At 50.7% G+C, this 23322-nt stretch overlaps 2 protein-coding genes across 46 annotated transcripts in view, besides 6 other annotated features; one reads left to right on the top strand and one right to left on the bottom strand.

The window, feature by feature from the left end:
* Positions 304-13310, top strand: IRF5 (interferon regulatory factor 5). 16 transcript variants are annotated; one of them, XM_047420337.1, is made up of 10 exons: positions 1199-1321; positions 5343-5548; positions 9117-9306; positions 9773-9834; positions 10295-10328; positions 10502-10569; positions 10600-10807; positions 11001-11393; positions 11482-11600; positions 11845-13310. In XM_047420337.1, the coding sequence occupies exons 2-10, from the start codon at positions 5354-5356 to the stop codon at positions 12088-12090; spliced, it is 1515 nt and encodes a 504-aa protein (XP_047276293.1). In that variant the 5' UTR covers positions 1199-1321; positions 5343-5353; the 3' UTR covers positions 12091-13310. The 16 variants fall into 16 exon arrangements, with proteins under 16 accessions (XP_011514462.1, XP_047276294.1, NP_001334857.1 ...); XM_047420340.1 differs by having other exon boundaries at positions 10550-10569; XM_047420336.1 differs by lacking the exon at positions 1199-1321 and adding exons at positions 3942-4147; positions 4551-4696 and having other exon boundaries at positions 10502-10807.
* Positions 1066-1825: a silencer, noted in NCBI's record as "silent region_18621". NCBI's record gives its function as "represses an Ori minimal core promoter by ATAC-STARR-seq in GM12878 lymphoblastoid cells {active_cell/tissue: GM12878}" and the evidence as "EXISTENCE:reporter gene assay evidence [ECO:0000049][PMID:35858748]".
* Positions 1066-2072: a biological region, named in NCBI's record as "H3K4me1 hESC enhancer GRCh37_chr7:128578271-128578854".
* Positions 1489-2072: an enhancer, noted in NCBI's record as "H3K4me1 hESC enhancer chr7:128578271-128578854 (GRCh37/hg19 assembly coordinates)". NCBI's record gives its function as "activates a minimal SCP1, AML or CMV promoter by ChIP-STARR-seq in naive H9 embryonic stem cells {active_cell/tissue: H9 hESC(naive)}" and the evidence as "EXISTENCE:reporter gene assay evidence [ECO:0000049][PMID:30033119]".
* Positions 2106-2175: an enhancer, noted in NCBI's record as "active region_26611". NCBI's record gives its function as "activates an Ori minimal core promoter by ATAC-STARR-seq in GM12878 lymphoblastoid cells {active_cell/tissue: GM12878}" and the evidence as "EXISTENCE:reporter gene assay evidence [ECO:0000049][PMID:35858748]".
* Positions 3666-3895: an enhancer, noted in NCBI's record as "active region_26612". NCBI's record gives its function as "activates an Ori minimal core promoter by ATAC-STARR-seq in GM12878 lymphoblastoid cells {active_cell/tissue: GM12878}" and the evidence as "EXISTENCE:reporter gene assay evidence [ECO:0000049][PMID:35858748]".
* Positions 4006-4055: an enhancer, noted in NCBI's record as "active region_26613". NCBI's record gives its function as "activates an Ori minimal core promoter by ATAC-STARR-seq in GM12878 lymphoblastoid cells {active_cell/tissue: GM12878}" and the evidence as "EXISTENCE:reporter gene assay evidence [ECO:0000049][PMID:35858748]".
* Positions 17457-23322, bottom strand: part of TNPO3 (transportin 3) — a 102009-nt gene continuing 96143 nt past the window's right edge. For 27 of the 30 annotated variants that reach the window (NR_167917.1, NR_167913.1, NR_167925.1 and 24 more), the window contains 2 exons: positions 20496-20587; positions 17457-18657 (listed from right to left, as the gene is read on the bottom strand). Coding sequence is in view for 12 of the 30 variants with exons in the window: in XM_047420091.1 (XP_047276047.1) it covers positions 20527-20587 (61 nt within the window). In the remaining 18 variants the exon portion in view is untranslated. Of the gene's footprint in view, positions 18658-20495; positions 20739-23322 lie in introns of all 30 variants that reach the window. The other 3 variants (NM_001382223.1, NM_001382218.1, NR_167924.1) reach the window with 2 other exon arrangements.

Genomic DNA, 23322 nt, shown 5'->3' on the forward strand with positions numbered 1-23322 from the left:
TGAAAAGACAGGAGGGAGGTTCCTGAGTAAGCTGATTCGAGTGGAAATCAGACATCAAAATTGAAACCCGCTGAATTTTCCAAAAAGCCAGATGCTCATAGAACTGAAGCTTGAGACACTTACATCAGTACACCTGCTGCCTGTTGACCAATTCCTCTTCCTTGTCCCTCCTGTTTTCCTTCCCTGCTATATAAGCCCCTAACTTTAGTCAAGGGGAGGGATGGATTGGAGGTTTGTCTCCCCTCTCAACAGCTCACTGGCTGATGTCACCGGAATAAAGTCTTCCCTGGCAATACTCGCTGTCTCAGTGATAGGCTTTCTGTGCGGTGAGCAGCCAGACCTGGACCAAACCCCTGGCAATCCATAACAAAATCATAAGCAAAATCAACCAGGAAGCTATTTGCACCCTGGAACCCCACCTGGGAGGGGAAGTCAAGGCAGACTTTCCAGAGAAGGCGATGCTGAAAATTTCAGAAACAGAAATTTTGAAGAGCAAGAGTTACCAAGCGAAGAACATTCCATGAGAAGGAACAGGAGGTGTGTGAAGGTGGAGGTTCTGGGGTGAGGTTCTTTATGGAATCGAAAACGGTTCAGAACCACAGGTCGACGGTCAAGGTAGTAGTGAGAGGAGGTGGGACAGGCGACCACGCCGCTGCCCCTGGGATGACTGGAAGGCGACTTAGGGGAGCTGGGGCGAGACAGGTGCAGGGTTTGAGGATGAGAAAGGCACAGAGTGACTAGAGGATTCCCGCCTGCAAGCACATCTGGAAGGGGTGTCTGGATCCTGGGGGCAGCGACTGTGTTCTAGGGCGAGAGCCACCCTCGCCAGGGGTGTAGGCAGGCGAGAGGAGGGCCTGGAGCTGTGGGTCGGCCACACTGCGCCCTCATTTGTGTGCAGCCCCGGAGGACCAGAGTGGGGAAGCACCCCACCCTCTCCCAGGGCCCAACTGAGCACTGCAGCGGGAGGTACGGGGTTGTCAAATGACAGTTTTGCCATTCCAGATTGCCAAAAGAGCCAGTGGCCAGTCTAGGGCACCGCGCCGTCTGGCATCTCCCTGGAGGCCCTGGGCCTGGCCCGAGGCTCAGCCCGGATCTGCAGTTGCCAGGTCAGTGCGGGGCCCGGAGTGGATTCGCGGGGCGGGGCGGGGCACTGCCCGCGCCCGGAGCTCAGCAGCAGCTGCCCAGGGGCGGGGGCGGCAAGACGCGGAAGTGCCCGGCAGGTTGGCGGACCGGCGGGAGGCGCAGCCTGGGCAGAGCTCAGCTTGGTCCCGCCGCCCGGCCGGTGCTCCCTGGCGCAGCCACGCAGGCGCACCGCAGACAGGTGGGTCCCGGCCGCCGCGCTCTCCTCTCTGCGTCCGCGCCCGGCGCGCCCCGAGGGTGGCGGGAGCGGTGCCGGCTACTGCCCCCAAGTCTAGGCCTAGACTGGGCCCCGCGCCCCCCAGGCACCTGCGGGCGGCGGGATGAAGACTGGAGTAGGGCGGGGTCCGCGTCCAGCTGCGCCTGGAAAGCGAGCTCGGGTGGGTGCCTACAGCAGGGTGCGCCCGGCCGGCCTGGGACTTCCAAAGCGCCTCCCACGCCCCGATCGGTTTGGGGTGCTGGCGCCCGGGGAGCCCAGTGACCCAGGCGGCGGAGTGGGCAGCGCTGCGGGGGGCGCCGGCTCTGCTGCTCTCCCTCCCCCTCGCCATCGCCCAGAATGGGGGTTCCCGGGAGCCCCGCTGGAGGCTGGCTTGGACCACAGAGGAGCGAGGCCCGATCCTTACTTTCGATGCACTCGCCCTTGCTCTTACCGGGCCACCCTCACCCTTTCGGAAAAGAGGTTGAGGTTAAAGCGTTCATCCCCCGGGATCTTCAGGCCAATGGCAGGAACTGTGCAAGAGTTTGGGGGAAGATGGTGTCAGGTAGAGGCTGCGTCCCTGGGCTCGCGGCCGGGAATGGCAGACTCTCGTCCCCCGAGCAGCGGAAAAGGATGGGGCGCAATAGTTCCTGGGCTGGTTTCCTCAGGTCCTGTCCCAGAACTTAAGAAGGCAACAATGAAGAGGCTAAACGTGGAGGAAAAGTGAGGCTAGCATGGCCGGGATGCGTGGGGAGATGGTTGTCTCCGGACCCCGGGAGGGGCGGGAGCGGGTACCTGGGAGCAGAGGCTGGAGTGGGGGACTTTCCCAGCCTCGCGGCCACGCTGAACACAGCAGGGCGAGGACCGGGGTGCTGCTCCTCCAGCAGCAGGAGGAGAGGTCCAGAGGCCGACTCTGGAGGTGGGGGTGGCTCCGCGGGCTGGCCCAGGGGGTGTGCCCCAGCGGAGCACGCGGGAGGGGTGGGGGCGGAGGGGAGGGGGGAGCAGGGGCGGAGGACTGGGCTGGGCCTGGGCTCCTCGAGGGCCCAGAATGGGGATAAGTGACCAGAACCAGAGAGGGCTCGGCTGTATCGATGTAGGAAACTGTAGCCCCTCAGGAGGCCCTCTGGCAAGACCTCCCCTTCCTGCCCCCACCCCCAGTAGTTATGGGGCCTGGGGTGCTGGGGCTGAGGGGTTCCAAGAGTCAAGGGAAGCACTGGGAAATCACCCCTTTTTATCTAAAGGCCCTACTTTGGGGTTTTTCCCCTGTACCCTGGTCTTCCCCTACCCTGACCCTGGGAGGAAGCTGAAAGAAGCTTCTTTCTGGGCACCTTTTGCCCCAGAGCCTCAGCCTGTCTGGACCAGGTGGGCAGCAGGGCCCAGGGTGTGGGCAGCTGACCCGGAGGGGTGGGATTTGGGGGTCAGGGCCTGTACAGGGAACCCCTTGTCCTCTCCCTGAGCTGGGTGTGGGTTTGCAAGGAGACATGTGACCCAGACCAACCCTGGGAGCAGCAGGGCGCCTGCTGTCTGGCCACTCTTACTAGGACTGCTGTGGCACTTCCTCCCCTAGTGGGTCCCTGGTGCCCATGAATTGCAGCTCCTGGGTGGTGGTGGGGGCACTGTCTCCTGGGACTCCAGCATGGCCCTGGGGTGAGCTGTGGGCTTACCCCACCTCAGCAGGTCCTCTAGGGCTGCCCACTGGATGCTTCGCTGCCTCACACAATTGTAGGGACTTCCTCAGGCTGTTGGATTTCCCCACCTTCCGGGGCTCAGGTCCATTGACTTAGGTCTAGGGCTCCATACATTTCACCCAGAGACTCCGGAGCCTGGCAGGCAGACCTGTTCTGACACCGAACTTCCAAAGTCATGGGCCTTGATTGGGGTGGTCTGAATTAGACCTAGCCCTTTTCTGGGCAGAAGGGAGCTTCTAGGAGGATGGATGCTGTTCGGGTTAGAGCTCGTGTGGACCTAGCTGCAGGCAAAAGCCTTGAGGCTGAGTCCCTTCTGTGGCATGGTGGACAGACTCTCGCTCATCACAGCCGGGCTTGTCACGGGAGCTCCTCCTCCACACCCCTCCCTAAGCTGCCTGTATGGACGCGGCCCTCTGACACTGAGGTCGGAGTTATCATTTCAAAACCTTGCTCTGTATTAAACAGCCGTGTTGGGCAGGGCCAGACTGCTGGACTGACAGTAGGGGGCAGGCAGCCGGACCCTCTGAGCTCCCCAACGGCACCAGCGCCTGCACGGCCTCAGCCCAGGGGGTCATTAGGGAAGCTCTCCCCGATTCTGTGCAGACAGAGCTTCCTCTGTCCACCCTTGCTCGGCCAGAATTGTGTGCCGCTGGTGACTGGCACCCCTCTATTCTAGGGCCAAGGCCTCTCAGGGGTCTACAGATACAACTATGGGTGGGTGCACACCCATGTTATAAACCACACTAAATGCACAAAAACTGTCTGCAAGTTTGGGGTGCGGGGAACAGCTCTGGGTGGGAGGTTGGAAATTTGGTCTGGGGGACCCACTCGGCTCCCTCCCTCAGCCCACAGTGAGTCTGGTTTCTGAGTTGTCCCGGTCTAGCCACTTTCGTTTCCCCTGGGGCCGGGTGGAGGCTGGGGCAGAAAGCGGAACTGAGCCCGCGTGTTCTGAGGCCAGGGCAGGGCTGGAGCGTTCTGAACACCTCCCCGTCCCAGCCCCTGGGCCAGGCAAGGGCCGGCCTTACCTCTCCTGGGTTGGTGGCAGCAGAGCTGGGCTCTGAGGGAGGCCTGCAATGTGAGACAGTAGCAGCTCAGAGGCGGCACTAGGCAGGTGCAACCCCAAAAGGTACTGGGCAGGGAATTTCAGGGGAAACTGAGGCTCCATGCTGCAAGGCCAAAGCAGGCCCAGACACAGGGAGTTCAGCTCGAACGTTTGCTCCTTACTTGCTGACCGACACATTCACTTCTGATGGGCTGTGCTGTGTAATGACCCAGTCCTTTCTGTCTTCCACCCAGGGGTCTCAAGTGAAGGGCCAAGGGCATGGGTAAGGGGAGGAGAGGGACAGAAGGGGACTCAGGACTGTGGAGAGTTTCCGGTTCTGGGCTGGAGAGGGAGTTGGGCAGGTGAAGGGGAGGAGGCAGGGTCCCTCTGGCCTGACTCCAGGGAGGCAGTGAAGCTGTGGCCTGGGAGGCGGGGCTCGTGCCCCTGGGTAGGTAGCAGTTAGAGCTGTGGCTTCTGTTTCCTGTAGCCTTCCTAACAGGCTCCGGCAGGCGTTAGGGCCTTCCTAAGTGCTACCCGAATGCGTGTCCAGTGGGAGGAGAAGGGGGAGGACCAAGAACCTAGATGAATGGCCCTAGAGAGGTAACATCTGTTTGGTGCCTGCTGTCATTGGAGGTGGGTTGAGTTGGTTGATGGGATTTCTCTAAAGATATTGAGAAACTGCTTTCCTCTGAGGGCAGGTGTCCTTGGGAGCTCCAGATGAGATTCTTGTTGAGGGCATCTCCGGAGGGAACTCTCAGGGGATGGAGGGTGAGAAAACTTGGGCAGGGAAGAATCGAACTAGGGGTGTAGACTGAGCAGGAGGCTGTCTTCGGGCTGATCCCACAGAGCGCTCGCTGTCCCAGGTAGCCAGCTTGAGACAAGACAGCCGGGCTTTTGGTGTCAGGCAGTCACTGGCTGTGGGCTGCCCCCCAAGAGCAAGGGGTGGGCCTAACCTGTGGTGTGAGTAGTGGAAGGCGGTTCTCTGGCCAACGGGCTGCTTGCTGCTGTTAGCAGTTGGAGAATGGATGCCTCTGCCCGGTAAAGGGCACCTGGGGCCGCGCCCGCAGCATTCACTAACTCGTAACTCTCCTTCCCTTCCTCCAAACACAAAATTCCATGACACTAGACAAGAAAGCTGATGCTTGGAAAAGAGAATTGGCCTTAAATACCTAGATGGACTGGAGAGACCATCCTTTGTGGTCCATAGCTTGACCTCTGAGTACCCTGTCCCCATCCACCTGCAGACCTGCTGAGGCTCCCCTCTGGCTTTCTCCTGCAGACCCCTCTGCCATGAACCAGTCCATCCCAGTGGCTCCCACCCCACCCCGCCGCGTGCGGCTGAAGCCCTGGCTGGTGGCCCAGGTGAACAGCTGCCAGTACCCAGGGCTTCAATGGGTCAACGGGGAAAAGAAATTATTCTGCATCCCCTGGAGGCATGCCACAAGGCATGGTCCCAGCCAGGACGGAGATAACACCATCTTCAAGGTAAGCCCCGGGGAGGAGGTTGGCTGGACCTCCAGGGCACCCTGTCCCCAGAAGAGGAGCGCACATAACGCACACAGGCAGCTCCTCGAGGCTGGCCACCCGCCCAGCTACCATGCTGCTGCTGATGCCGGGCCCGGACTAAGGGGATGCAGACGTAGACACAGGGTACACCTTTTTCCTTTTTTTTTTTTTTTAAGACAGAGTCTCGCTCTGTAGCCCAGGCTGGAGTGCAGTGGCACGATCTCAGCTCACTGCAACCTCTGCCTCCTGGGTTCAAGCAATTCTCCTGCCTCAGCCTCCTGAGTAGCTGGGATTACAGGCATGAGCCACCACGCCTGGCCTAGGGCACATCTTTTCTAACCTGCACCCTAGAGCATCGTGGGGACTGAGGGTCCCCAGAAGGCCTTCCCATAACTCGTCCTACTCACCCTTTGCTCGTCTCACTCCTATTACTCATGAGGACTTGTTCAGTGCACGCATATGCTAAAGGAAGCCAACGATCATCATCTTTCTAAAAATTTTATTTTTAAATTAGTATATATTTATGGGGTACACAGTGGTGATTTGATAAGCACAGTGATCAGATCAGGTACTTAGCATATCCATAATCTCAAACATTTGTCATTTCTTTGTGTTGGGAACAAACTATTTTTAATATAAGATTCAGATACATCATCAATCTTTCAATTGTTTAAATTTTCTAATTTTTTTTAGAGACAGGGCCTCACACTGTTGACCAGATTCCAATTTTTTTTTTTTTTTTTTTTTTTTTTTTGAGACAGGGTCTCACTCTGTCACCCAGGCTGGAGTGCAGTGGCTTGATCTCAGCTCACTGCAGCCTCGACCTCCCAGGCTCAGGTGAGTCTCCCATCTCAACCTCCTTGAGTAGCTGGGATTACAGGTGCCTGCCACCACAACTGGCTAATTTTTTGTACTTTTAGTAGAGACTTTGCCATGTTGCCCAGGCTGGTCTTGAACTCCTGGACTCAAGCAATCCACCCACCTCAGCCTCCCAGAGTGCTGGGATTACAGGTGTGAGCCACCATGCCCGGCCCAATCTTTTTTTTTAATTGATGTACTACAACTGTACATATATACTCTTTTTTTTTTTTTTTGAGATGAGTTGTTGCTCTGTTGCCTAGTGTTGCACCATTGGTGAGCAGTGGTGCAGTCATAGCACAACCTCCAACTCAGCTCAAGTGATCCTCCAGTCTCAGCTTCCTGAGTAGCCGTGACTACAGGTGCATGCCACCATGCCCAGCTAATTTTTTTTTTTTTTTTTGAGATGGAGTCTTGCTTTTTCACCCTAGCTGGAGTGCAATGGCACAATCTCAGCTCACTGCAACCTCTGCCACCTGGGTTCAAGCAATTCTCCTGCCTCAGCCTCCCGAGTAGCTAGGATTACAGGCACCTGCCACCATGCCCGGCTAATTTTTTTTTTTTTTTTTTTTTTTTTTTTTTTTTTTGTATTTTTGGTAAAGACAGGGTTTCACCCTGTTGGCCAGGCTGGTCTTGAACTCCTGACCTCATGATCCACCTGCCTTGGCCTCCCAAAGTGCTGGGATTACAGGCGTGAGCCACCGTGCCCAGCCTAATTTTTTGATTTTGATATTTGTAAAGATGAGGTCTCACTTTGTTGCCCAGGCTGGTCTCAAGCTCATGGGCTCAAGTGATCCTCCCACCTCAGCCTCCTGAGTAGCTGGTATCACAGGCGCAAGCCACTGTGCTCTCTCCAATAATCTTAATGCTAGGATGTACCTCGCATAATAGTTTTTGCTTACATTTTAGTTTTTTTGCACATGTGTGTATATGGAATGCAAAATTGGAATCAAGTGAATATCTTGATTTATAGCCTGGATTTTTTTCACCCAATATCAGGATCAGCTTTCCTTTCCAACATACGTCCACATCACTTTTCGTGACTGTAGAATTTCCACTGGAATGGTTTAGCACAATTTGGTCACTGAGTCTTGGTTTTTAGATACTTGAGATTGCTTTTAAAACCTGAACTTAAAAACCACATTGTCATGTAGGCTGTCTTAATGCTTCCCTTTTTTTCATCCTCAATTATTTTGGGGGTTGATTTCCTAGAGTTGAAAATTGCTGGGTCAAAGGCAATGCTTATTTTTTAAAACTTTGGGTACATATTTTCTTAGTTTTTGGGCTTGATCCTTACCTTTCCAAAATTCTTTTGCTAATCCATTTATTTTGTATAGGTAATACAGTCACAAAATTCAACATTAAAAGGCATAGAATGGTTTAGAGCAAAAAGTCTCCCTCCTTCCCTGGTTCATCACCACCCACTCCCCTCCCTAGCCTTTCCCTAGAGGCAGCCGTGTTGTCATTTTCTTGTTTAGCCTTCCTGAGAGATTTTTATGCACATGTAAGCAAATATGGAACTATCCTTTCCTCTACTTTTCATAAGAAATGCTAGATATCTGCATATTTGTCTAGACTTAATACTTCTTGACGATTGCTACATGTCAGCTTATAAACAGTTTCCTGCTTTTTCTTTTTTTGTGCTGCCCAGTATTTTTCATTCAATGGGTTGGCCGTAATTTCACCAGCCCCTCATTGATGGATGTTGCATTGGGTATTTTGGGTCATCTTTTACACACAGCACTGCTGCGAATAACTTTGTGTGTGCAATATTTTGTGTGAATGCTTCTATGATATTTAGGATGAATTCCTAGAAATCAAATAGCTGGGTTAAAAGGTAGAAAGAAATGTTGGTAACCCTCACCTCACCTAATTGCCATTCAAAATAATACCAACAGCTCCAGTGTCTCGAGCCTGTCCTATGTGCAGGTTTAGCTCTGAGTGCTTTACGGACATCAACTCCCCTCATCTTTTTTGAGATAGGGTATCACTCTGTCGTCCAGGCTGGAGTGCAGAGCATAATCATGGCTCACTGCAGCCTTGAACTCCCCAGCTCAAGCAATCCTCTCACCTCAGCCTCCTGAGTAGCTGGGACCACAGGCACCCACCACTATGCCCAGCTAATTTTTTGTAAAGACAGGAGTCTCGTTATGTTGCCTAGGCTGGACTCCAACTCCTGGGCTCAAGCAGTCCTCCCACCTTGGCCTCCCAAAATGTTGGGATTACAGGTGCGAGCCACTGTGCCCAGCCAACATCAACCCCTTGAGTCTTCGCTGCCACTCCATGAGGTGGGCAACTGTGAGGAGATCAAGACAAAGGGAGGCAGTGACATGGCCTGGCACACAGCTGGCGGGGGGCACTTCCAGATTCAAACCCAGCCTGGCTCCAGGGTGCTCACCCTTATCCCGCACGCTGTCCTCCTTAGAGATCACACTGTTTCACCCTCCCAGGAGCAGGGACTATGGATGCATCTCATAGCCCCTAGATTTCATGTAGCTTGCTGGCAGCCTGAGGGCTGGGGCAGGACTGTGGCAGACTCCCACGCTGCAAACCAGGTCTGGGGCTCAGCGAGGCTCAGCCTGTAGCCGAAGTTCTCCCCACACAGTAGAGTCTCCTATGGGACAGGAGGCAGACTGGGGCTGTGGCAGGGATGAGGTTCTCTGTGGTCGGCTATTTCTTCCTGCCCCAGGCCTGGGCCAAGGAGACAGGGAAATACACCGAAGGCGTGGATGAAGCCGATCCGGCCAAGTGGAAGGCCAACCTGCGCTGTGCCCTTAACAAGAGCCGGGACTTCCGCCTCATCTACGACGGGCCCCGGGACATGCCACCTCAGCCCTACAAGATCTACGAGGTCTGCTCCAATGGCCCTGCTCCCACAGGTATCAGGCCTAGCCCTCTGTGGGCCACCTGGGAGGCTGTGCAATGTCCTGGCCCCCAGCCATGAGCTCTTGGGTGCAGGCAGGCCAAGGGCCCCTCTAGCAGGCAGTGGTCCAGGAAACGATGCGGGGGCTCCCGCTAGGTCATGACACCCAGGGCTTCCAGGAGTGGCTGGGATGGGTCACTGGCATATCAGGAATGGCTTGGCGTGCAGTCAGGGACCTGGGTGCTTCTTCCTTACCATTGCCCTCGTTTTGGCTTCTGGCTCCAGCCTAGGTCTCATGGCCCATGGAGTCGGGGAGGTCTTTCCCAATCCTGGTGGCTGTGCCCTCCACCTCGCCCTGTGTTGGGGGCAGCTTTGGGGAAGGCAGAAGCTGCATAGGAGCTACAGGCAGCCTCTCAGGGGATCTTGCTTCTCCTCCGACATTGACTCCTTTACTGCCCTGCTTTTCTCTCCCTGCTGTGCAGACTCCCAGCCCCCTGAGGATTACTCTTTTGGTGCAGGAGAGGAGGAGGAAGAAGAGGAAGAGGTGAGTGTGGGTTGAGGAGGCAGGTGGAGCCCTGGACGAGCTCTCTGCTGTCCCCATCGGCCTTAGGTTTCCGCAGCCCCACTCCCATGGAGCCCCGTGGCCCTCTCAATAGTTCTCCTTGTTTCTTCTCCTGGGATTCTGAACGATAGGAGCACAGTCCCCACCTGCTCCTTCCCAGGGCATTGTCATTACCCTGTGTGTGTGACCCACGCAGCAGTTGGGGCTTGGTAGGTCTGACTCCCTGCAGAAGGCAAATGAGGAAAGTGAGGCAAAGGGCTTTTCTGACCTGCCTGGGATGGACGAGCTGGGACCGGAGGCAGGGTCTTGCCTGAGCTAAACTGAGGCTAGGGGAGTTGCCTCATAGTTCTCGCCTGTTATTTCCCCAGCCCCAGGTCAGTGGAATAACCTGTCCTCCTTTCTCTCCCATCTCTTCCCTCCCTTGCTGGTGGTGTCCCTTCAGCTGCAGAGGATGTTGCCAAGCCTGAGCCTCACAGGTGGGGCCGGGAGGTGGTGGTTGGGGGTCTAGTATACAGAGAAGCTATAGGTACCATAGGTACCTGGAAGGGGGCTGATGGGAGGCTAGGGTGGCCCAGGGCTGGGAGGAGGTGTGCCTGGGAGGCAGTTCGTGGAGGTGGCACTGACAGCCGTCCACACGCACTCTCTGTAGATGCAGTGCAGTCTGGCCCCCACATGACACCCTATTCTTTACTCAAAGAGGATGTCAAGTGGCCGCCCACTCTGCAGCCGCCCACTCTGCGGCCGCCTACTCTGCAGCCGCCCACTCTGCAGCCGCCCGTGGTGCTGGGTCCCCCTGCTCCAGACCCCAGCCCCCTGGCTCCTCCCCCTGGCAACCCTGCTGGCTTCAGGGAGCTTCTCTCTGAGGTCCTGGAGCCTGGGCCCCTGCCTGCCAGCCTGCCCCCTGCAGGCGAACAGCTCCTGCCAGACCTGCTGATCAGCCCCCACATGCTGCCTCGTAAGGACCCATGGCTGGGCACGGGGAAGCAGTGCTGGGGGATTGGGGTAGGATTGGCAAGGAGGGTGGAGGGTGCTGGACTCCCTTGGGTGGGAAAAGTGGGAGGGCGGATGGGGCTGGGCCTGGCCACTGGGCTGCAGAATGGGGAGGCGTGGGGCTCAAGGACGGGATGGGCCTGCCTTCTGCCCCACAGTGACCGACCTGGAGATCAAGTTTCAGTACCGGGGGCGGCCACCCCGGGCCCTCACCATCAGCAACCCCCATGGCTGCCGGCTCTTCTACAGCCAGCTGGAGGCCACCCAGGAGCAGGTGGAACTCTTCGGCCCCATAAGCCTGGAGCAAGTGCGCTTCCCCAGCCCTGAGGACATCCCCAGTGACAAGCAGCGCTTCTACACGAACCAGCTGCTGGATGTCCTGGACCGCGGGCTCATCCTCCAGCTACAGGGCCAGGACCTTTATGCCATCCGCCTGTGTCAGTGCAAGGTGTTCTGGAGCGGGCCTTGTGCCTCAGCCCATGACTCATGCCCCAACCCCATCCAGCGGGAGGTCAAGACCAAGCTTTTCAGCCTGGAGCATTTTCTCAATGGTGAGGGCCCAAAGCTGTGATCCTCCTGGCTGCCTCTTGCCCAGGGCATGGTTCCAGCCTCTGACTAGGGACCTTGATTTTGATGCAGAGCTCATCCTGTTCCAAAAGGGCCAGACCAACACCCCACCACCCTTCGAGATCTTCTTCTGCTTTGGGGAAGAATGGCCTGACCGCAAACCCCGAGAGAAGAAGCTCATTACTGTACAGGTACATCTCCCCTATCCCAAAGTCGGCCTTGGCTTGAAAACTGGGGAATCCTGGGGCTAGGCCCTTGCCCCAGGCTGGAGGCTCAGGGCTCCCTGAGCAGTGTGAACTTGGCGGCCAGAGACCATCAAGGCTCAGAGCCGGAGAATGCGGTCTATTACTCACCCCTGATGGCTGTCCTCATGCACAGCTGGATCTGGCAGCCCTGCCACAGGTCTCCCTGTCTCATCTCCTCTTTGCCTCCCAGGTGGTGCCTGTAGCAGCTCGACTGCTGCTGGAGATGTTCTCAGGGGAGCTATCTTGGTCAGCTGATAGTATCCGGCTACAGATCTCAAACCCAGACCTCAAAGACCGCATGGTGGAGCAATTCAAGGAGCTCCATCACATCTGGCAGTCCCAGCAGCGGTTGCAGCCTGTGGCCCAGGCCCCTCCTGGAGCAGGCCTTGGTGTTGGCCAGGGGCCCTGGCCTATGCACCCAGCTGGCATGCAATAACAAGGCTGCAGACGGTGACTGGCCCTGGCTTCCTGGGTGGCGGTGCGGACTGATGTGGAGATGTGACAGCCCCGATGAGCACCTGGCTGGCTGCAGGGTCCTACCTCTGGGTTTCCTGGAAGTGGATTTGGGCCAAGAAGGAGAGGGAGAAAGGCCCGAGCCCCTGCCTTCCCGGGCCTTTCTCTCCTGGGCTGTCTCTGGTCTGGTCAGCCTGGCTCTCGGGAAATTCAGCCATGAGCAGGGAAAGAACTCTCCCAACCCTGGGGCCTAGCTGTATAGGAGGAATTGCCTAAGGGTGGCCCACTCTTGTGATTGCCCCATTTCCTCTGGCAACAAAAGCCAGAGTGTTGTGGGCCAAGTCCCCCCACAGGGCCTCTGCAGGGCATGGCCCTGATTTCCCTGGTTTGAGACTCACTTCCTCATCTCCCTGTCCTCTGAGATAATATGAGTGAGCACTTAGGTATCATATCAGATGCTCAAGGCTGGCAGCTACCCCCTTCTTGAGAGTCCAAGAACCTGGAGCAGAAATAATTTTTATGTATTTTTGGATTAATGAATGTTAAAAACAGACTCAGCTGTTTCTTTCCTTTTACTACTACCAGTTGCTCCCATGCTGCTCCACCAGGCCCTGTTTCGGATGCCAACTGGCCCACTCCCCAAGCACTTGCCCCCAGCTTGCGACCATTGGCACTGGGAGGGCCTGGCTTCTGGGCTGATGGGTCAGTTGGGCCTTCATAAACACTCACCTGGCTGGCTTTGCCTTCCAGGAGGAAGCTGGCTGAAGCAAGGGTGTGGAATTTTAAATGTGTGCACAGTCTGGAAAACTGTCAGAATCAGTTTTCCCATAAAAGGGTGGGCTAGCATTGCAGCTGCATTTGGGACCATTCAAATCTGTCACTCTCTTGTGTATATTCCTGTGCTATTAAATATATCAGGGCAGTGCATGTAAATCATCCTGATATATTTAATATATTTATTATATTGTCCCCCGAGGTGGGGACAGTGAGTGAGTTCTCTTAGTCCCCCCAGAGCTGGTTGTTAAAGAGCCTGGCACCTACCCGCTCTCACTTCATCTGTGTCATCTCTGCACACTCCAGCCCACTTTCTGCCTTCAGCCATTGAGTGGAAGCTGCCCCAGGCCCTTACCAGGTGCAGATGCCCAATCTTGATGCCCAGCCATCAGAACTGTGAGCCAAATAAACCTTTTTCTGTATAAATTACCCAGCCTCGGGTCTTCGTTTACAGCAACGCAAAATAGATTAAACCCCCATAAATGTTCAAGGATACCTTGCCCCACAGCCTCGTCCACAGAATATATTGTCACTGTTTGGATTTTTGCCAACCTGACAGGTGAGATAGTATCTCAGTGCCACTTCTCATTATCAGCAAGGCTGAGTAGCTTTTCACATGGTTAAGTGGCCTGTACAGATTTTTTTAAATAATTTTAGAATGGTTTTAGATTTATGGAAAAGTTCCTAATAGAGTTCCTATGGACCCACACTTTCTCCAATTGTTAACATCTTACATTACTATGGCACACTTGTGACAATAATGAAACCATGTGGACAATTACTATGAACTCAACTTCTTTATTTGGATTTCATGAGTTTTTCGGATATCCTTTTTCTGTTCCAGGATACTATCCAAGATATCACATTACATTCACTTGTCACATCTCCTTAGACTCCTCTGGTCTATGACAGTTTCTTAGACTTTTCTTGTTGTTGGTCTTGATGGTTTTGAGGAATACTGGCCATTTTTTAAAGCATGTCCCCCAGTTTGGGCTTATCTGATGTATTTCTCATTTGTTTTTAGAGATAGGGTCTTTGTGTTGCCCAGGCTGGAGTGCCATGGTGCAACCTTGAACTCCTGGGCTCAGATGATCCTCCCACGTAGCTGGGACTACGGGTGCACACCACCACACCTGGCTTTTTTTTTTTGAGACCTGGTCTCAATATATTGCCCAGGCTGGTCTCAAACTCCTGGCCTCAAGTGATCTTCCCACCGTGGCCTCCCAAACAGCTGAGATTACAGGTGTGAACCACTGTGCCCCGCCTGTTTCTCATGGTTTTTGTATGGAAGACCACAGAGGTGAAGCATCATTCCCACTACATCATATCAAGGGTGCATACTATTAACCTGATTTATCACTGTTTCTGACTGAGGTAGTGATAGGTTCCTCTATCATAGTTACTCTTCATCCTCCCTGATCTATATGTACACAGGTACCGTGGTTTTAGTATTATTCACCTGCATCCTCTTAAACTTCACCAACTAGAGTACAGTGATTACGTAGTGCTCCTTTTGTCTTAGTTTTCAATCATTTACAAAGGTGTGCACCTTTTTCTTCACAGGCCTGTGCAGTTCTACTCCCTCTTGCAATTGTCAATGTTTTGAGATTAGGAGAAGGGAGATGTCACATATCTGGTTTCCAGCTTCTTCCAAAAAACTGGCAAATATGAAAACACTGTCATACATTCCTCAAAGGCAAAAATCAGCTGGAACTCTGGATGGGGAATGTTCTCCCAGTTCAATACGGTCCTCTCCTGGCCTGCTTCCTTTCACTGCTCTCCGTGTCCCTAAGGGCATTTGAGTTTGCAACCCTTGATGAATGGTGGAGCAGGGAGACTGAGTGTAGATGAATTGGGGAAGCTTGGAAGGGCCAGGTGCCCCTCGCGACCACGAGTGGGCTGACTTCCCCAGTACTGCTAGCAGTTGAGTAACTGCCAAAAATCTTCCCTGAATTTGTATTAATTGGTTTCCTAAAACTAAAATGAAAACAGCAATGAAAACCTGGCTGTCACTTACAGATCTCTGTGTTGTAGTAGCCAGCTGTGGATGAACAGTATCCAGAAGTGACAGATGTAACAAACTCCAGAGGTAAAGGCAGGCCAGTGTGAGGTACAATTCACTGCTCCCAAGCCAGGCTAGGGCTCCCCTTGGTAATAGCTTTTGGCTGCTCTGGTGGCCTGTGCTGGAGCTTAAGTTGGAACCCACAGGACCTTGATGCCCACATCCTGGGGATGAATGCATCCCTTTAGCCCCAGCAGTTTCTCTCCCTTCTTTCAAGCTCCTTGTCCCCACCAAGTTCATCCTTATAACCAACTAAATATACCCTTTTTAAGACTCTCAGCTCTTTGACATAAAGAACCTACCCTGGCCGGGTGCAGTGGCTCACGCCTGTAGTCCCAGCACTTTGGGAGGCCGAGGTGGGCAGATCACGAGGTCAGGAGTTCGAGACCAGCCTGGCCAACATGGTGAAACCCCATCTCTACTAAAAATACAAATATTAGCTGGTCATGGTGGTGGGTGCCTGTAATCCTAGCTGCTCAGGAGGCTGAGGCAGGAGAATCGCTGGACCCCATCAGACAGAGGTTGCAGTGAGCTGAAATCCCACCATTGCACTCCAGCCTGGGCAACAGAGCAAGGCTCCCTCTCAAAAAAAAAAAAACAAAAAAACAAAACAAAACAAAACAAAACAAAAGGAAAAAAAGAAAAAACGTACCCTTTTCAGTCTCTGTAGAGTAGAAGATATCAATGGCTTTTCCCATTTTTGCTGAAAGAGCATTCTTGGAAGGCAATGTTCTCATTTGCTGGTAATCTATCCCAAAGAATCAGGCACATCTTGTTGCAAAATCTTGAACCTTTAAGGTCTCTTGGTTTTGGCTTTCATCTTATGATTCACTTAAATCAGGGCCACACAAGGTAGACATTTAAATAAACTCATGAATGTTGATGCCATTCAAAAGCACAGTTTCCTTTATGTCTTAGGTGTGCATTCTCAGTTACTGTTCTTTATAACAATTCCCTTCAGATACATAAGGATTACAAGTTACTGTGTTTTAGTACAGTCTTGCTGGAAATAGCCCCAATGCTGATGATCTGTGTTCCACATAATCATGGCCAACATTTCATGGCTAATCCTATCACGGAACAGACAATTCTGTGGGGAGATGACTTAGGCAAGTTCAGGTGCAGTTAGCTGACCTGCCCACATGGACGGGAGATACTCATCCTATTTCTACTAGACAATGCCATGCAGAAACACAGCATCTCCATTAGGTGAGCTGATCCTGAACAGTTCCTTTTTAAATTAAAATCTAGATGGGCATCCTTGCTCTGCCGAAAGTTTCAGAGCAGCCCTTTCAAATAATCTGTAAGGCTTAAGTAAGCAGTGAGGTTCTGACACCATTAACAACACAGGGCTGTTTGCAAAGCTATAGCTTTAGATATGCATTCCACATGCTGTTTTTCAGTGGCTAAGGAGGGCTGCATTAAGTCTTCCACACATTTTTTTCAGTTCCCCACACAATTGCCTGTGAAAACAGCCAAATTCCTTAAACAGAGCAAAATCAACTGGTTATTTCAAGGACCTATGGTTGGACAAAACTTAAAGGTTTTATTATTTAGCCAGAACATGAGAGGGATGGCTGGGGTAATGTGCTGATCCCTGGAATCTGATATCACTCTATAAACACTCAAGTTTTTTTCTCTCCTTCTAATATTGCCTCTTTAGAGATTAAAACCCTGTGTACCACTGATGTTATGCTGGAAGATTTGTTTCACCAATTCCTATTGTTCTGTAGCTTGAGGATTTATGCCCAGGAGTGAAAAAGTTAAAGTGACAGGCAAAGAAAAGGCAGAGAAGTGTCAGTATATCAACAACACTGCCAGATCTATCACATTAGAATACAGCTCTGCAGGTATTAGCTCAAAGCCCAATTGCCATAACAGACTGTTATGATTCCATTTATTAAAAACTCAGGAAAATGCAAACTAATCTACAGTGATAGAAAACAAACCAGTGGTTATGTGGAAATGGGGATGGATGGGAAGAGGGAGGAAACAGGTATTACCTAGGGGTTCAAGGAAACTTTTGGAAATAAAGAGTATGTTCACTACCCTGATTGTGATAACGGTTTCATGGATGTATCTTATGTCAAAGCTTATCAAAGTGTATACCTTAAACACATGCAAATTATGTTAATGATACTTCAATAAAGTTTTTTTTTTTAAAGACCAATAAATCTGCAGGTCAGGAAACTGTCTACTTGGGTGGCCATAGTAGAAAAACCATACCACACTGTTTAACTGAAAGAGTAACCCAACTCCCTTTCCCACTGAGGCTACACAAAAGGGTAAAATGTAAGCGTGATGAGCTTTGGTGTGAATTAGGAGAATAAAAAGTGCAGAATGAACCACTTCCCTGAAGTCTGAAGGGTCTGTGGCATCAGGGCAGGGGCCTGCCCTTTCAACTCCATCCCCAGATGTCTATCAGGTACCAAAGGCTGCTTCCATAGCTAGTCTAGCTGAACCATTTCCGAGCTACAAGGCAGTGAATGAAAGTAAAAACAAAGAAACACTGGTTAAATTTTAAAAATTTATTCTTTCTCTTTTGTTGCTGTTGATTTGTTCTTGAGATGGCTACAACACCAGACAGAACAGTGCCCTCATATCTGATGGCTGTGAAGGGCTGCACTCCTTTGAAACATTAAGATCTGCTTTGGGCTTCCCTCTTCGGCCTCACCCTCCCCTTAAAATCAAGTCATTTCCACACTTTTTAGTAACATACTAAATGACACATCATCCCTTGTTAGCCCTGTAAACATTTTTTCTCCACACACCCTCCCTCTTTTTTTCTCTCATGTCTGTGGGTGAATAATTCACTAAGAAAAAAACCTTAAAAAACAAAAACTTACACATTTATATCCTGCACTCCCCACCCACCCGCCCACCCCAGTTTTGGCTCTTCTCTCCAAGGCAGACAACAAACTGATGTGGATTGGAAGTGGACTGAGAGAATGAACGGGGTCAGGGTTCAGATATCCATAAATTCTGACCCTGGCAGGTCCCGAGCATCACCAATGTGACCACGATAGAAAGCAGAACAAGTTCCTTGCTTACTCCTCCTTGTCTAAACAACTCTAAAGGTGGGAAGAAACAGCTGGGGAAGGTAGAAGAAATTTCTACTCATTTGCATTTAAAAGGAGGGGAGAGAGAAAGAGAAGGAAGGGTAGGAGAGGAAAGAGAGGACAAAACAATAGAAAACCTGAACAAATGACCCTGACCCTCTTCTTCCAATTGCAGCTATTTAATTCATGTGAATCCCCACATTATCCCTAAGTAAATATTTTGTTTCACAGAAAGCTTGTCCTTTTGTTTTTCTGTGTACACGTGCGCACTGGCGCTTGTGCGTGTATGTGTGTGTGCGTGCATGTGTCATTTGCTACCAGGTGAATGTTTCAGTTCTGGTTTCTGTTTAGTCTTCCTTTTTTTTCTTTTTTCTTTACTTAAAATTATTTTTCCTTTTAGAAAGTTCACCAGGAAACCAGCTCCCCTCCCACCACGCCGGGCAGGCCACAGCCATCTTTTTAAAATCCGCGCTGATTTTCCCTCACACCCCCAAACAGGAACTCCTCAGGATGGCCTCAGAAGGCTGGAGTCTCTCCCTGTCTGGCGGGACACCCTGGTGGCGGTGAAGGCCCCTCTGCCACAACGGAGGTTTCTGATTGTGGGACACAGTCTGGTTTTTGTTTTCTTCCTGTCTTCTAATTAAAAAAGACATTCCTGACAAAAGAGATAAGACAGTCAATAACTGCACCAGAAAATAGAGCATTTAGTAAAATCAACCTTAAGGCAGAGGTTTCTATATTTCCTCAGGTACCTCATTCTGAAGTCTGCCAATAAGAACTCAGAAAAAATAAACAAATAAATAAAAGTCTGGCGTTTTAACTTGTGGGTTCAAGGGAGCTACTGCTTTAATGAGACACCGTCTGCAGTGTGCTTCCAATGCTGAGTGTGCTGTGGAAACAAGGGATGATGTGTCAGGAGGGCAAAGAGCCAGCAGGTCCAGGCCTCCCATTCCAAAGCAACCAGGGAAGCTTTGCCTCAGTCTGCTAAATCCCACAGGCTTCATGTCGATTTTATTTTGAAAGAAGGCTTTGCCTACTAATAACAGTTGAAAACAAAACAAAACAAAACACCAATTTAGATGCTATCGAAAGGATACTGTATTAAGCGGAGTGGTTCAAAGTGAGGACTCTGGTACCAGAATATCTACATGTGAATTCTGGCTCCACGAATAACTGTCAGGCAAATTGTTAAACATTGTTGAACCTCAATTTCCTCATTTGTAAAATGGGAAAAATAGTAACAAATCCAGAAAAGCAGATGAGGATTATCTTAGTTAATACATCTAAAACACTTAAAACAGTGCCCTGACACACAGTAAGGGCACAATAAAAGTTAACCATGAACACCTACAGCTGTCCATGAGCAACCTTATGAGGTGTATCAATGTCAGCTAACCCAGACACCATGCAAAACCAGGACATCCCAAATGATATTATTACTCATTAAAACAATCAAAGTTGAGAAATGATTTTGGGTGTGGCAAGGCACTGCTGAACATCACTTTTACCTATGAATGCATTTAACACAGAAACTACCAGTGAGTGCTACAGATTCATCAAGAATTGCCTCCTGGGAGAAGAAACTCACCTTGAGACATCAAAGGGTGGGCTTAGAGGAGAGCTACCTTTCTTCTCTCCATCAAGAAACTGGCACCCAAATTCTACTACCCACTCCTTTCAGCTAAGCTTCTTGCTTTGCTTCAGAACCAGGAGACGGAAAGCACGTGGAGAAAAGTGCTCATCGGGAGCCAAAGATGCTCCTCCTCTCCTGTAAGGGCCAAGCATCCCTAACAGCTGAAACTTTTTGAACGCTGATATGACCCTCAAGCGAATGAGCATTGGAGCATTTTGGATTTTGGATTTTTGGATTAGGAATGCTCAACTGGTGTGCATTCTGCAAATATTCCAAAATCCCAAAAAATCCAAAATTGAAAAACACTTCTGAAAGTGTTTTTTCCTCCGAAATCCCAAGCATTTCGGATAAGGGATATTCAATTCATACCTCCTGCCCTGGTCAAAACCTGGCACTTCAGCATTCAGGTCATAAAAGTGATAAGAATAAGCTCTTTGCTCATTACATCTGGAGGGTCAGTTTTAGGAGACTGGCACCACATATAACAGTCAACTTGAGGTTGTTTTCGCCAAAGTGGCCAGGTTAAAAATACTTATTTGTTTGTTGCCATGTACACTTACCATCTTAGAAGTGTCTGTAAGGGGAAGGGGGAAGAAAATGTTTCAATGCACTGTGTAACAGTTACTTTCTTATGGAGGTGAAAATGGTACCCCAAAGACACTGACAATTACTGGCTGCCCAGGCCCAAGAAAATCCGGGCCCTGTATATTCCAGCTGTTCACCACAGTTAAACTGCTGAGTCCTTCCCTGACTCTAGCTATAAGACTGGTCCCATGATAGGCATTAAAACCTATCCCCATTCCCAGGCATCCCCAACAGTCCGACAGTCCGGACAAAAGCTGGGAACTATGTATCCTCACCTGGGTGACAGGCACAGTGCAGGAGTGTGAGCTATCGAAACAACCTGGTGAAGTCTCGCAAGGCCCAGCAAACTTGTTTACATTCCTCAGCACTAGAAAAGAAAAGGTAGGTTGGTCCTTGACTGAGGAGAAAGACAGAATATGCTGAAAAACAACTGCAACATTGGGGCACACTGAGAACCGTCCCAACTCTGCTAGGAGCTCTCTCCATCGTCTCCTGAGCGATCCTGGCTTCAGATCTTTCTGTAATTCAGGGCAAAAATTATTATATATGAGAAAAGTTATAAGCTTGGTGGTCTTCAAAGGGTGTACTCTGGACACAAACTGCCCGAGTTTGAATCTTGGCTCCACTGTGCCCTTGAACAAGTTACCAATCTTTGTCTCAGTTTCCTCATCTATTAATATTATCTACTTCATAACACTGTTTAGAGGATTAAAATCGTCCACATACAGAGTGCTTATGAAAATAGAGCAGTGAACAAAATAGTATTCAATAAATGTAGGCTGCTACAACAACACTTGGTTGCTACGGCTCTCATAAGTTTCCTCATTCTCTTCCAAAGATAGATTTTGTTTACAAAGGCCGGTCTAGCAACTAAGTCTCCACCAGTCATTGATTTTCTAGTTGAACAGGCTGCTCAGGATTTCCTCCTGTGGGAGGAGGAGGGAGAGAGGAAAGGGTTAAAGCATGTAGAAAGAGAGACAAAGCAGGAGATGCCTATGTGATATGAATAGCCCAATATTCAACTGACCCTGTTTTTTCAAAAGCCCCCCGACCTCCCTTTGTCCAAAACTGTCACCAAGAAACCAGCTGATGCCAGCTTCATTCTACTGTATCTGTCTTCATAACAGTTTTTGCTAAATGAACATAAGGCTAAGCTAAAAGCTAAAGCAGTGGAGAAGGAAGCACTTCCTTTTTTTTTTTTTTTTTTTTTTTGATATGGAGTCTTGCTCATGTCATCCAGGCTGGAGTGCAATGGCACGATCTCAGCTCACTGCAACTTCCGCCTCCCAGGTTCAAGCGATTCTCCTGCCTCAGCCTCCCCAGTAGCTGGGATCACAGGTGCCCACCACCACGCCCGACTATTTTTTTGTATTTTTAGTAGAGATGTGGTTTCACCATGTTGGCCAGGCTGGTCTCGAACTCCTGACCTTGTGATCCGCCCGCCTCGGCCTCACAAAGTGCTGGGATTACAGGCATGAGCCACCGCGCCCAGCCAGGAAGCAATTCTTAATATGCTTGCCTTCCTGTAGCCCTCTCCCTGGCTCAACTAACTCAGATACCAGTGCCTACAGCCAAGGATTCAATGCAGATGAAAACACACTTTCCATCTCATAATGGTTAAACACCAGGGGAGGAAACTGCTCTAAGCGATCCAACAGAAAAGGTGAAAATAGAGCTATCCATTTAGGTTCCTACATCCAGATTTCCCCATCCATTGTAAGTTCTGAAACATCATTAAGAACCTTGACTTAGACTCCATGACTTGATTCAACAGAACATTCTAGAAACTTTCTTCTAGTCTCTCCATCCTAAAAATGTAATGAAAATAAGGCAGGTGGCCAGGCACAGTGGCTCATGCTTGTAATCCCAACACAGGGAGACCCCGTCTCTACAAATAATTTAAAACTTAGCTGGGTGTGGTGGTGCACACCTGTGGTCCCAGCTACTCACGAGGCTAAGGCAGGAGGATAACCTGAGCTGGGGAGGTTGAGGTTGCAGTGAGCCATGATTGTGCCACTGCACTCCAGGCTGGGCAACAGAGTGAGACCCTGTCTCAAAAAAAAGAAAAAAGAAAGAAAATGAGAAAGGTCTTTTGGCTTTATTGGAATTGCCATTACCTCTGTGGATTTAATAAGCTTCAATTTAAGTGTTACATTTCTCATTTTACTTCCAAATTAATACTGACTGTTAAGGAGGCAGCCAGGGTATGTGAGCCCATATCACTCATGCTCCCAATGTCAGGAAGGAGGAAGATCTGTAACCCAAGAGAAGTTGCTATGTGGTGTGTTATCACAAGGGACTAGGATAACAGAAAACCCTGAAAGTTAGGACAGTGCTGGAGACCGAGATTTTTTTGCTATCCTAATGTCTTACATGTTTTAAATTTTACCCTTCCTCAAGAGACTTCTGTTTTGTTTTGTTTTCAGAACAGATAGAAACAGGGTCTCATTGTGTTGCCCAGGCTGCTCGAACCTCTGGGCTCAAGCTATCGTCCTGCCTCAGCCTCCAAAGTGCTGTGATTACAGGCGTGAGTCACTGTGCCCAGCAGAGACTTTGGAAATGATAACTTCACAGCCTCCTTTGTGGCACATGAGAAAAAGTATTGAAACTGAAATGCAAGTGTGGGAGAACTTTAGTGCGATAGGGTGAAATGAGGGACAGGTGACACTGTCAACTTGGCTTCTGCCCCAATCCTATCTGCAAGTGCTTTGGTGTCAAACACTTCAGCCAAATGTTTAACTGAAGTGTCCTTGGTGGGGAGCCCATAGAAATGGATCAAAAAGCTCCTTGAGGCCGGGCGCGGTGGCTCACACCTGTAATCGCAGCACTTTGGGAGGCCAAGGCGGGTAGATCACCTGAGGTCAGGAGTTTGAGACCAGCCTGGCCAACATGGTGAAATCCATCTCCACTAAAAAGACAAAAATTAGCCGTGTGTGGTGGTGGGCACCTGTGATCCCAGCTACTCGGGAGGCTGAGGCTGGAGGATCGCTTGAACCCAGGGGGTGGAGGTTGCAGTGAGCTGAGATCACACCACCGCACTTCAGCCTGGGCGACAGAGCAAGACTCCGTCTCAAAAAAACGAAAAAGCTCCATGAATGTTAG

The sequence above is a fragment of the Homo sapiens genome, chromosome 7 (assembly GCF_000001405.40).
Source record: "Homo sapiens chromosome 7, GRCh38.p14 Primary Assembly".
Classification (NCBI taxonomy): Eukaryota; Metazoa; Chordata; class Mammalia; order Primates; family Hominidae; genus Homo; species Homo sapiens.